Here is a 13541-nt window from a genome sequence, read left to right as displayed (position 1 = left end):
AGGAAAAGAATACAAAAAATATGAATCACAGAAGTGAAAGGACCTATTCAGTGGATTTCAAACAGTGTTGTATAGAGTTCTAGGTACCTCAGAGGTACCTCTGGGTCTACAGGAGAAGAAAGGAGAGGTCAAGTTGGTGGGACTCCCAGCCAGTCAAGGCTCTGATCTGTTTTATACACTGGGCTCATGTGAGATTTAGTTTGAACAAAAACTAAAACAAGTTTAAAAACCCATGACTGAAATTGCTTATTTTGTACGGGATATTAAGCTTCAGGTAATGACAATTTTTAAACTAAACAAGTACTCCCAACATATATATACATACATTAGTGAATCCACCTTTAAAAAATTCTGAGAGGTCGGGGTGTGGCCGATAATCACAACTATTAAAGGAAGCTGAGGCAGGAGGAGCACTTGAGCCCAGGTGTTCAACACCAGCCTGGGCAACATAACAAGACCCTATATCTAAATTTAAAATGAACATAAATAAAAATCTGAGAAAGGGTAGCTCTTTTTTGTTCAAGACAGTATATAAATGAACTAAATATATCACCAATAAAGGCAAAGTTATGAGCCAGCCAAATCTGAATTAAAGAATTCTAATTTGACCACATTATGTTGTCCAGGCTGGTTATGAACTCCTGGCCTCAAGCAATCCTTCCACCTTGACCTCCCAAAGTGTTGGGATTATAGACATGAGCCACCACACCTGGACTATTTTATTGTTACAGAAAAAAAGATTCTCTAGGTATATTTGTCTAAAATAACAAGATTGGAACCAAAACATGGGGTAGAATTATCAAGAATTTTAATATTCTTCCTGTTTATGTGCAGTTTCTAAATTTTCAATAAGCACATACTACCAACATTTAAAAAAAAGGATTGTCATAAATTATTTTGAAGAGTTGTCAAAATGTTCCCAAAATGTCGGACAATAAGAGGCTACTTTACTCAGCAGATCCTGTGTTTATTCCCACTGGTTCTTAACCAGGGGCAATTTTGCCCCCCCAGATGTTTAACAATGTCTTGAGTTGGTTTTGGTTGTCACAGCTGGGTGAGGGGTGCCACTGACATCTAACAGGTGGAGGTCATGCATACTGGTAAACATCCTACAATGCAAGGGATAGACCCACAAGAAAGAATTATCCAGCCCAAAATGGCAATACTACTGAGGTTGAGAAATCTTGTTTTAAAAGATTAACTAGAATGAATGAGAAAGAACTTCCCCACAGCCCATTTAATCCTCAAATTCTCTGCTATGACTACTGACAAGAAGATAAATTAACTCTGACAGAAACAAGGAAAGCAGGCTATGTTGGACTGGCCTAATTCTATTATCTCCACGTTTCAAAATCAACCTCAGATATAAAGGGTCTCGGCACTTCCCTGGCTCACATTCTAAATGCAGCCCTTGAAACCAAAGCATGCAGCTATCTCCTTACGTGAAAAGGCCATGTTCCCTCAGTCAATGTTTTCTCCCTGAAATTTTAGTAAAGTGGTAGCTTGCAATTACAAATTTCTAGAAGCTCTGAAATGTGTCACATTTCTGTGTATCCCAATGCCATAAGCAAAACTCCATTTTCTTCAAAGTCTCTTTCAATAAAACATAACATTATTTGCCAAAGGCAAGATTCCAGGAACTAAACAGGGAGCTATTTCTTGGACCTTAACTCTATCCCCTGGATGAGCTTAATTTATATACTAGAATATCTTCATCTACTTTCATGGAAATTTTTTAAAAGCAAAAGCAGCAGCAGAAACAAGCCAAAGCAAAATCAGACGGAAGTCTGAGAACTGCAGCCATAGAATAAATACAAAGTTAACAAGAAAAACATCAGATTTTTTTTCACAAATAGCAAAAGAGCCTGAGAAACAGAAAAAGGCATATTGACCTCACTCGTCAGTCATAAGGACTCAGCCCCACAGCAAATGCATACCAGGGTGTACACAGAAGGAATACAGCTAGAAAAGCTTGGGAAAGAGGGATATTAGGAGAAGAAATAGTTCATTTTCCTGAAATGCTAGACTCTGGTTCAGTTTACTCTAGTTCTAGTTTTTTCTCATCCTCTAGCACATGAAGGATGACAAGCACAAAGACTCAATGTTTCAACCCAGAGAGGTTTTTTGAACTAGGAACCAGCATGAATCTCTGCAAGGTAATTTGTTGTTATTTTATAGCACTCAACACATAGTATATAGTCTATAAAACCATACCAATGACAATATGTTGACATACGTGAGGATTTGGTTCCATAGTGATTCTTGAATAAGTGTAAGGAAGTTCTCCATACCATGCTGTAAGTCTTGGTTGCTGATAAGTTATATCTAAGAAAGAAAATACAGGCCTTTGAAATGGTTTAATGCTATTTAAGGTGTTACTACTGAGTGCCAACTTTGTGCCTTGCAATGTGCTATGAGAAATACAAAAGAAAAGTAAGAATGGGCTGTGACCCAAAGTTCCACCTTCACAGAAGATATGGGACTTTGCAAGTAGAATGGACAAGAGAAACCACTATGTTGGCAGACACCACATGGGCAAAGGCTCTGAGATGAGAATGTGGGTGACTTGCTTGTATTAGTGATGACATAAACAAGAGAGGGCAAAGAGTCACACTGGGGAACAGTGGGGCTCAGACTAGGGACGGTCTCAAAAAGCAGAATATGGAGACTGAACCCCTGTCTGCAGAAATTTGTGGCACCAACATCCATGTGAGAAACAAGACAAACTGCTCATTCATGTGTGCAATGTTGTGTAAACCTTTTTGATTCAAGGGAGGAAAAAGTGCCCTGACCAACTGTGGCATGCAGCTGATTTTCATCAGAAGGCTTTGATGTTCCAATTTAGAGAAGCAGTTATCCATAGATCTACTCTTTTTCCCATAACTGGTATCAGCCACAACAATAAGAACAATAATAATAATAATAATAGCAGCAGCTAATACTCACTGAAGGCTTACTATGTACCAGGCAATCTCATGCGTTATCTCATTGTATTAACACAACCACCTTATAAGAAAGACATTGTTATTAATTTAATTTTACTGATAAGAAAACCAGGGATCAGAGAGTTACTTAACTGTAATTTGCTTAAAATTAACAACTACTTTGAATGAAAGAGCCAACAATCAAAGCCATGTCTGTCACCAAAAGCCCTGCTGCAGAAACTGTGGGAGTTGAGAGAAGGCTGTCCTGAAGGCTGAGAGAAAGCTGACTCCTATTCTGATGCATGAGTAACAAAAATGAAGCCAGTACAGTTGGTCTTTCATATCTGTGGGTTCCACATCCACCATGGATCAAAAATACTCAAACCATGGATCAAAAATACTCAAAAAATATATAAAAATTACAAATAACAATACCACAATAAAAAACAGTATAACAACTATTTACATAGCACTTACATCGTATTAGGTATTATAAGTGATCTAGAGATGATTTAAAGGATACTAGAGGATGTGCATAGGTTATATGCACATACTATGATAGTTATTTTATTTTTTTTTGAGACGGAGTCTCACTCTATTACCAGGCTGGAGTGCAGTGGCGCGATCTCGGCTCACTGCAACCTCTGCCTCCCGGATTCAAGCAATTCTCCTGCCTCAGCCTCCCGAGTAGCTGGGACTACAGGTGCGCACCACCATGCCTGGCTAATTTTTGTATTGTTAGTAGAGATGGGGTTTCATCATGTTAGCCAGGATGGTCTCGATCTCCTGACCTCATGATCCACCTGCCTCGGCCTCCCAAAGTGCTGGGATTACAGGCGTAAGCCACCACGCCCAGCCACTATGATAGTTTTTATGAAAGGATTTGAGCATACATGAATTTCAGTATCCACAGGGAACAATCCCCTGTGGATACTGAGGGACAACTATATATACTTTGCCTCTTTACAGAAAATTTAAATTCACTCAATGTGCCAGAAAAAAATTCGATGCTAGAGTACAGACGCCCCCAAGTGACCGCCTGTGGTATAACAGGCACTGTTGGCTTGTGGATGCCCGCAGAGATTCAGGTTCCAACTCAGGTAACAAACTGCCGTGTCACTTTTACAAGCTCAGGAGAGTACAGATGCTGAAGCTAGAGGAGACTGGACTCTTCTGGCAAAAGTTAAAGAAGAATACAAAGTCAGCAAGGAGTGTGAAAGAATGTATGCAAAATAGGATAAGAAAAAAAGAAAGCTCTGTAATTTTCTATGAAGAAAGGAAAAAGTTGGCACCATTTGAAGCAAGTCAGTGAACAAACACAAAAGGAGATAAGTATGTCAGCCATAGTTCAGCCAACCAAATTTCCTTTGGTTCCTTGAACTCTCACCTCTATCCTCCTGCCATGTTCTCTCTGATCTCTGGGCCTTCCACCTGCTGTTTCTCCTGCCTGGAATACTCTTCCCTGTCCTTTTTGGCTAATTCTACTTTCTTAGGATCTCAGGTTTTGAATTTCTGTTTAAGACTAGCTTTGGTGAGCAGAAGTGATGGTACTAGGAAACATTCCAGAGAGGGAGAACACGCAGCACCAACTGTGACCTCTGGGATCTACTTACCCTCTCTGATGCCAGTCCTCTGTTTCCAGGGAACATCTTGACAAAGCTGTTCCAATATCCAGTCAGCTTCTTTCACGTCAACAAAGCCAGGATACAAACAGACCCTGGGTGCAGAATGAACATTGTTAACCAAAAAACATGGAAAAGATAAGTTAGACTCTAAATGTTAGTGGAAACAGTTAATCTGGATGCAGCCTCTAATGGGTACATGAAATCATCTTACCACAGCTCCCACAGCAAGCAGAGCCTAACATCACCCAGGTCATGAGGCTCCAGATATAAAATAAACTCCTTTCATGTTGGGACAAATAAAAGAGGCAATGAAGGATAAAGGGATGATAGGTGAGGGCTTTTATAGATCATAATTCAAACAGTATTTCAGTACTGCTTAGCTGTGAAACCCTGGGCAAGTTACTGAACCTCTCTGAACTTTGGTTTTCTCATCTGTAACCTGAGATGACATCAACCTCATAGATTCACTGTGAAGAGTAAATAGAATAATAAGTCCAGGCACAGTGGCTCAAGCCTGTAATCCCAGCACTTTGGGAGGCTCAAGCGGGTGGATCACCTGAGGTCAGGAGTTCGAGACCAGCCTGACCAACATGGTGAAACCCCGTCTACCAAAAATACAAAATCAGCTGGGCGTGGTGGCGCATGCCTGTAGTTCCAACTACTTGGGAGGCTAAGGCAGGAGAATCGCTTGAACCCGGGGGTGGAGGTTGCAGTGAGCTGAGATGACACCATTGCACTCTAGCCTGGGCTACAACAGCAAAACTCCATCTCGAAAAAAGAAAAAAAAAAGAATAACTAATAAAATGCCTGGCCCTGTTTTATTTAAACAATTGGTAGTCTTCTGAGACTATGCTAATTCTAGGAAAAGCTACAGCTCATTATGACTGTATCAAAATAAACACAGCTAATGAGGGTTCTTTCTCCCACTGAATATGTGTTTATTTCAACAATGCCAACGCAGCTCAAAATAATTTTGGATATCTTTCTTAAGATACCTTCTGAAAGCCCACGGAAGATTCTCTTAAACTGCCTTGGTAGCAAATCTTCACTCTTTGAAGGTGCATCTGATTTTGTGAAAGAGCCAAAGCTTACCTGAAGCCGTATCTAGTTAACAATGAGATATGACCAAAACAATAAAACTGGTTTTCTTGAGTGACTTGCTTTAAAATAACAGTTCCAAAAAAGGTTATAACCATGGCAGAGCCATTGTTCCAGCAGAAGCTCCTCTGAAGAAATTCATCTAGATGTGTAAGTTCTATTTGTTTTAAATGTCTCATTATTTTATAGTGACAATTAGTATACTCATGCATTAAGGCGATGTTAATGTTTCAATGTTTTTAAATGTTTTTAAAACAATGACTAATGCCTAATATACCCTAAATAGTATATGCTTTAACTACTGAAATCTATCCTAGGCCACGTATGGTGGCTTACGCCTGTAATCCCAGCACTTTGGGAGGCCAAGGCGGGCAGATCACTTGAGCCCAGGAGTTCAAGGCCAGCCTGGGCAACATGGCGAAACCCCATCACTAACAAACAAACAAACAAAAATACAAAATTAGCCAGGTGTGGTGGCGCACACCTGTAATCCCAGCTACTCGGAGGCTGAAGTGGGAGGGTGGCTTGAGCCCAGGAGGCAGAAGTTGCAATGAGCTGAGATCGTGCCACTGCACCCCAGCCTAGGTGACAGAGCCAGACCCTGTCTCAAAAACAGAAAGACTGCCAGGCGCAGTGGCTCATGCCTGTAATCCCAGCACTTTGGGAGGCCAAGGCAGGTGGATCACGAGGTCAAGAGATCGAGACCATGCTGAATAACACGGTGAAACCTCGTCTCTACTAAAAATACAAAAAAAAAAAAAAATTAGCTGGGCATGGTGGCACGTGCCTGTAGTCCCAGCTACTCGGGAGGCTGAGGCAGAAGAATGGCGTGAACCCTGGAGGCGGAGCTTGCAGTGAGTGGAGATCACGCCACTGCACTCCAGCTTGAGTGACAGAGTGAGACTCTGTCTCAAAACACAAAACAAAAAAAAACAAAAAAAGAAATTTACCCTAGTGTAGCAATTTGTAACATTATACACAATAATCTACAATATGTAATATACATGAAGTATAATAATATAATGTAGCACTCACAGCACAGAAGTCCAGGCTAGGCGCAATTCTAATGTCAAGTTATTATGTGGCACTAAGAAAAAATATTCAGGCCAGACGTGGTGGCTCACACCTGTAATCCCAGCACTTTGAGAGGCTAAGGTGGGGCAGGTGGATCACCTGAGGTCAGGAGTTCGAGACCAGCCTGACCAACATGATGAAACCCCATCTCTATTAAAAATACGAAAAAAGTAGCCAGGCTTGGTGGCACATGCCTGTAATCCCAGCTACTTGGGAGGCTGAGGCAGGAGAATCTCTTGAACCCAGGAGGTAGAGGTTACAGTGAGCCAAGATAGCACCATTGCACTCCAGCCTGGGCAACAAAAGCAAAACTCTGTCTCAAAAAGAAAAAAATATTCAATCTTCCTAGGTCTCATTTCCTCATCTAAAAAACTTGGGAAATAGCAGCTACTATATCTGACAGAAAGGTTAGGAACTATACCTGAAAATATTTTGATGCTAGAAATACTAATAAAAAGGAGATATTATCAAATTTTTGCTCCCCAAGAATTTAAGGGGCAGAAGTTACCTATTTGAAATAAGGGAGTAGACTTTTTTAAACTTTAAGTTTGGGGTACATATGCAGGTTTGTTATATAGGTACGCTTTTGTCATAGGGGTTTGTTATACAGATTATTTCATCACCCAGGTGTTAAGTCTAGTGCCCATTAGTTATTTTTCCTGTTCCTCTCCCTCCTCCCACCCTCCACCCACCGACAAGCCCCAGTGTCTATTGTTCCCTTCTGTGTGTCCCTGTGTTCTCATCATTCGGCTCCCACTTACAAGTGAGAACATGCAGTATTTGGTTTTCTGTTCCCACGTTAGTTTGCTGATGATAAAGATCTCTAGTTCCATCCATGTTCCCGCAAAGGACATGCTTTCATTCCTTTTAATGGCTGCATAGTATTCCATAATGTATATGTACTACATTTTCTTTCTCTAGGGGAGTAAACTATTTTAAGAGACTATAACTCAGTGATAATTACGGTCACTTCTTGTGAGGATTTGCTTACCTAGATACACCTGTGGGTGACAGGCTGATTTCATACACACCCTCTCTGCTAAAGAAACAAAGGAAACAGACTTGTTAGTTTGAGGCAAAACAATATGCTATACCCAGTGGAAGAGTTATCCTTCTGAACTGCCAAAGTCCTGGCTCACCAAAGTCATTTAGTTATGAGAGAGGCATAATCCCCACCTTCTTCTACCACTGAGAAGATCATGGTATATCATTAATGGCACTGGAATGGAACTGTGACAGTATCAGGCCATGGAGACAAAAACTGGGATAAAATCAATTCTGATTCTACTCCTTTATATTTTACCCATAATTGAGGCAGATATGGTCCAGGAATCTATTGCACAAAGAGGTTTCAAATAGAGCACTCCTCTGGAGAATGTGGAATAGGGGATACATTTAACAGGCAGCAAGCACATCTCAGGGCTCTGGGCTTCTGTTGCTTTCAGAGATACACATCTGATGAGGTTCCTCTTCTGATTAAAATCCTTCAATGGCACCCCAAAACTGCATTCAAGGTCCTCATAATGTAGCTCTATCTTCTGACAGCTCCCATAAACTCATCATCCTCCAGCAGCAATCAACTGCTTGGAATCTCCTGAATACACCACTACGTTTCTAACTCCATGCTTTTCCATGCTGAAATGCCACCCCATCACCCGGCATCCCCAATCCAATCCACCTCCAGCTTTGGTCCAGTGGAAAACTCTCATTCACCTTTCAAAAATCCTAGCTTCAGCATCACCGCCTTTAAACTTTTCCTGACCTTTAATCCAGGCAAATAATATTAACCTCTCATCCTCTGTGTTACCACTAGACCTTACAGTCTATTTTTTCATGATGTACAAGATTACAATTTATCTGATTAAATGTCTATTTTATTTTATAGACTGTGGGGTCCTGAGGTGCAAGGAATAGGTAGATTATTGCTTCCCAGTGTCTGCACATAGCAGATGGGCAATAAAGGTTTACTAAATTTAATCAAATGTGGAAATGTATAAAGCTGTTGCAGAACTGCCAGGTGGTGAGGCCCATAATGAGAAAAGTGACACAGACTGGATAGGTATATCTATCAAGACAATTGTGTCAGATCCTTCTCAGAGAGAGACACGTTATAGAGAACACGAAGGGGCAGTTTTCACATCACCTTCTGTCATGGGAGTTAGTGGTTCATGATCTCTGAGCTAGGCTTTTAAGTAGATGTATGAGTGCCTTTCAGCCAAAATGTAGGCATAGCAGGCATAGCTGTCACACATATTTACTACATGCATCGTCTATAATGTTTCCCTGAGTATACAGAGAACAAAATGTTTCAATATGGTGTATTTTTGGCCCACATTCAGAAATGGCTCACTTTAAATATGGAAGACATTTCCGGCTATTTTTTTAAAACCTAGCATAGTTAACTTTAGATAATGAGAATTAACAGATTCTAGGACCAAGTAGGAATGAGTTCTGTCATTTTTCTCCGACAATTGCCTGTTTCTGGGGGGCCGAATGTCACATCTGTAGCTTACAACATGTTTCATGGTTTTGTTTATTCTCCTTCACCAATGAAGGCACTAACACACTTGTTTTTTTAAAACAACCAAAGGCCTGGCATGGTAGCTCATCCCTGTAATATCAGCACTTTGGGAGGCTGAGGTGGGAGGATCATTTCAGCCCAGGAATTCGAAACCAGCCCAGGCAACATAGGGAGATCCCATCTCTACAAAAAATTTTTTAAAAAAGGAGCAAGGCATGGTGGTGTGTGCCTGTGGTCCCAGCTACTCGGGAGGCTGAGGTGGGAGGATCACTTGAGCCCAGAAGATGGAGGCTACAGTGAGTTTTGATTATGCCACTGCACTCCAGCCTGAGTGACAGAGTGACAGCCTGTTCCAAAAAAATAAAAAATAATAAACAACCAAAGACTATTAGCCTGCGACTTTTTCTAAGATATACAAGCCAATCTGCAAGCAGTCAAACAGCATAACAAACAGATTGATCATGGGCAAGAACATATATCTGATGCTAATTTGCTAAGATAAAAGAATAGTTTCTACTGACAATTTATCTACATCAGATGAAAACTGACAAGCATAAAAAGAGGAGTCAAAGCATCTCTCACCAACTTTGGACAAGAACATTTTAGACACAGATCAATATAAGAAGAATGTTTACTATCATTTAAATTGTTCTGGAATAATTACATGGTTTTAATAAATGGACTGTAAGCTCATCTACAGCACTAGCAGCTTTCATAGCATTGCTAGTAAAAAAAAAAAAAAAAAAAAGAGGCAATTAATGGCTTCTCAAAGAACCATGCTTCAATGACTCAGGAAAAATCCCTCTCTGTCTTTGCCTGAGAGGTTTAGCTTACTGTCTACAGATATCGGTGAAATAGGGCCAGGAAATCTACACAAGTCAAAGTTTAACATATGGATATCTTGTTGCATTTTCAATACTATCAGCAAATTCAGAAAGTCTTCTCAAAAGATCAAGTTTAAAGACATTTGAGATGGGAATATCCCAGACTACAGTTAAGACACTTATTGGGCCATTCTCTTCCAGATAGAAAAAACAGTGAGGAAAGATTCCAGGCTCTTCATTTCACTGTGGGCAACAATTACAGGAAGACAGCAAATTACTTACTCAATCACTCGTGGCTCAGGAGCTCTACGTACTACCTGCAAGGAAATAGGCGGATCTTACTTCTGGGATGTTCTTAATCCTCAAGGATACTGACTTACCATATCTTCCCATTTCTGGTCAAAATAAAGTTAAAAACTATCTCTTTTCTATTCCAACTTCTCACTAACCCACTAGAGACCCTTGTCTCCACTCTTCTTAAAACTACTTCACATTTGCTAGTAGACAGTAAAAGAAGATACAATTATTAATAGAATAAATTTTCCTAGCAGCCAGCAGCTCTGGAAAAATCTTGACAAGATTTTTTAAAATAGAAAATATGCTATAAAATAAGGAGTTTTAATAATTATTTATAGGGTTGTTACTATGGCAAGAAACCCAACTTTTTAACTTTTCCACATTATTAAAAAGTAAATCTTCACTGTTTCCTACATTTTTCCTCATGGGAAAAAAGGGCTAAAAATCAGGCATTTTATTGTAAAAACTGAAATTTTAATCCAATTCCAAAGATGGTGAAGTGCAATAGCACTGAAGACAGCACAGTTTTAGGACTGCTGGAGCTCAAATAACCAATGCAAGCAAGCTCTCATTATGGTGTAACCTCCTTGCCAAAAATACGGGAATAACATGTGACCATAAACTGGGAGCAGACTACGAAGAATCCCCAGACATAGAAAGGAACTGAAATATTTCTCATTTCATTATTATTATAGTTCTTCTGCTCTGCTATTAGTGAATTTATTCAGTCATTATTTATTTGAGTGTCTACTGTGTGAATATCACTTTTCTAAGCAAATTTTTATCACTATTGAAGAAAAAACCATGAATTTACCTGCTGAGGTTCTTTGAACACAAACTCTCTGTCAGAGAGATGATGCTCTTTGTTCTTCCAGGTCTGGCCAGGCTTCTGGTGGAGATGGCTCTTAGCAGTGGTAGCTGAAGCAAGAGAGGGGACAGCCTCAAACCAGGGGAAAGTCTGTTCTCAGCACCTTCTACTGAGCAAGGGCCAATAAAGCCCACTTGGAGATGATCTCTATGACATGTAGAAACTAACTGGTAAAGTCAACAGAAGATACTGAAAGGTTTGAGGGTGTGGACTAAATATGAGGAACATTAAAGACCCACCCTTAGCTCACCATCAACAAAATCGGACAAAATATCAGCCACATTTTAAACAATTCCTTGACGTCAATTGAAATGGAAGTCCATTATAAACCAAAAGGATATAAATAAAAGAGAATGAGAGTTGTCCATATCCACACACACACAAAATCCCTACAGATTCTTGCCTGGCTGAGCAATGGCCTGGCTTTTAACAGGGGCAGCCCAGGCTCCCTGAACTCGGGCTCGCCGTCTTTTTTCCTCCATGTTGACCAAAAAGGCTTCTGCTCCGAGCTTTCAGAAGATTTTGTTCCTGTTTCAAACTACTCCATGGTATCTGTTTATTAAAACAAAACAAAACAGTGCTTTTAGTTAGGATTGTGAACAATTACTCCTAAGGCATAATTAATTTCAGGCAGAAGACTCTCAATGGCAATAGAGCTTCCATGTAAAATCAGTTTATGTCATCACAACATTTCATTCAAGAAGCCTAGTCATTTGGGGCTGCTGGCTTTAGCATTCACCTTTTGTAATCTTACCATAGTACTTTTGTTTCTTTCACAAGAAAGTGCATTTTAAGAAATTCTAAAATTAGGACCTATTATAAACCACATTCCTCTTAATAGTCCCCAAGAGTAGAATATAAGGAAACTGTACTATTCCCATTTTCACCTACATGGACATTGAGAAATCGGCTAAGACTGTTTCCAAGCATATATTCCATTATCACTGGCTGCATCAAACTTCCCTGGAAGTTTGTTCAAAATACCTATGGCCCACCTTCAGAAAATCTGATTTAGGATGGATACAGGTATTTGTCTTTATAACAAGCAGTGTAAGATTTGACACAATGCAGGTATGTATGTGGACGGTAAAGTTCAATGATGCACCCAAAGCCACTCAGGAAATCAACAACAGACAGATTAACATTCAACTTATATTAAACTCCTGTCTCCAGCTAACGGATAAATCCACCTCATAATGGCTAATAATACTAATTTGACAGTTGTACCAGTAAAAGCTTAGCCTACAGCAAATGCAGAAGCACGTACAGCTACCAAAACAACAAGGAAATTCAAGCCACATGTTCCACATCTGTAATCTATTTCTTTATGCTTCTACCTAAGAAAGCTTCACACCTCAAGTTCTCAAAGGTAAAAGCTCGTTTTATATTAATAGCTTGCTTAGACTATAGATTCCCAGGTCCCATCTCCCACCTCTTCTGATTCAGTAGAGCTGAGCCAGGCCCAGGAATCTGTGTGTTTAACAAGTTCCCCCAGATGATAAGCATGTAATTCATTTCATTTAATAGGTGGAGAGACGCAGAGGCTGCCATCTGCCCAGAAGAGTTAATGACAATCAAATACCAATTCTCCAATCCCAGGAGCTCCCGTTTGACATGTTCTCTCAATTGAGGCCCTAAAAGCGTAACACAATTACCTACAGTCCCCGCAGAGGATACGACTTGCTCACCTTCTTGCTCCATTCACTGGGGAGCCATATGTTATTTGCCAGGGAACAATTGTTGAAAATAGATTCCAGAGCCCCATCCCAGATCTACTCAATTTGTAGAGTCCCAGAATTTGTTAACTAACGCCACCCTCAACCCAGGAATTCTTAATGCACATAAAGCTTGAGAACCAGTGCTGTAAAATACAAGGACTCTGGCGCCAGCCAGAACTCGCTTTGAATCCAGATCTGTCACTTCCCAGCTGCATGGCCCATGGCAAATGACTTCACCTTTCTGAGCCCCAGTTTTTCCTCAGTAAACAGGGCAGTCACTTTCCGCACGGTTGAGGTGCAGACTAAGCGAGCTCCGCAGGTGGAAGAGCTTGGTCGTGGATAAGGGCACTTCCTTTTCCTAATTTAGATCCTTCTCTTTAAGGAGGCCTAGAATGAGGCCCCGGAGGTCGCCCAGGAAGAGACTTCAGGGGTGGTACTCGCACCCCCAGCCCCGCGCACCCAGCAGTAAGTCAGGAAGGCGCACTTGCGGGCGGAGCCGGGCGCGCCCGTGCAAACCCGGTAGGACTTGGGGCAGCCCTCGCAGCCCCTGACCCACTCCGCAGTCTGTGATCGGAACCTTAAGAGTGAAGCA

At 40.7% G+C, this 13541-nt stretch overlaps 1 protein-coding gene across 1 annotated transcript in view; it reads right to left on the bottom strand.

The window, feature by feature from the left end:
* Nucleotides 1-13535, bottom strand: part of ALKBH3 (alkB homolog 3, alpha-ketoglutarate dependent dioxygenase) — a 39444-nt gene extending 25909 nt beyond the window's left edge. The window contains exons 1-7 of the mRNA NM_139178.4: nt 13187-13535; nt 11635-11783; nt 11178-11281; nt 10349-10383; nt 7713-7760; nt 4538-4641; nt 2237-2325 (exon numbers count right to left, since the gene is read on the bottom strand). Coding sequence (NP_631917.1) covers nt 2237-2325; nt 4538-4641; nt 7713-7760; nt 10349-10383; nt 11178-11281; nt 11635-11713 — 459 coding nt within the window. The 5' untranslated portion in view covers nt 11714-11783; nt 13187-13535. The remainder of the gene's footprint in view (nt 1-2236; nt 2326-4537; nt 4642-7712; nt 7761-10348; nt 10384-11177; nt 11282-11634; nt 11784-13186) is intronic.

Source organism: Homo sapiens, chromosome 11 (assembly GCF_000001405.40).
Source record: "Homo sapiens chromosome 11, GRCh38.p14 Primary Assembly".
Taxonomy (NCBI): Eukaryota; Metazoa; Chordata; class Mammalia; order Primates; family Hominidae; genus Homo; species Homo sapiens.
Note: the sequence above shows the minus strand (reverse complement) of the source record. Positions and strands in the feature narration are given on the sequence as shown.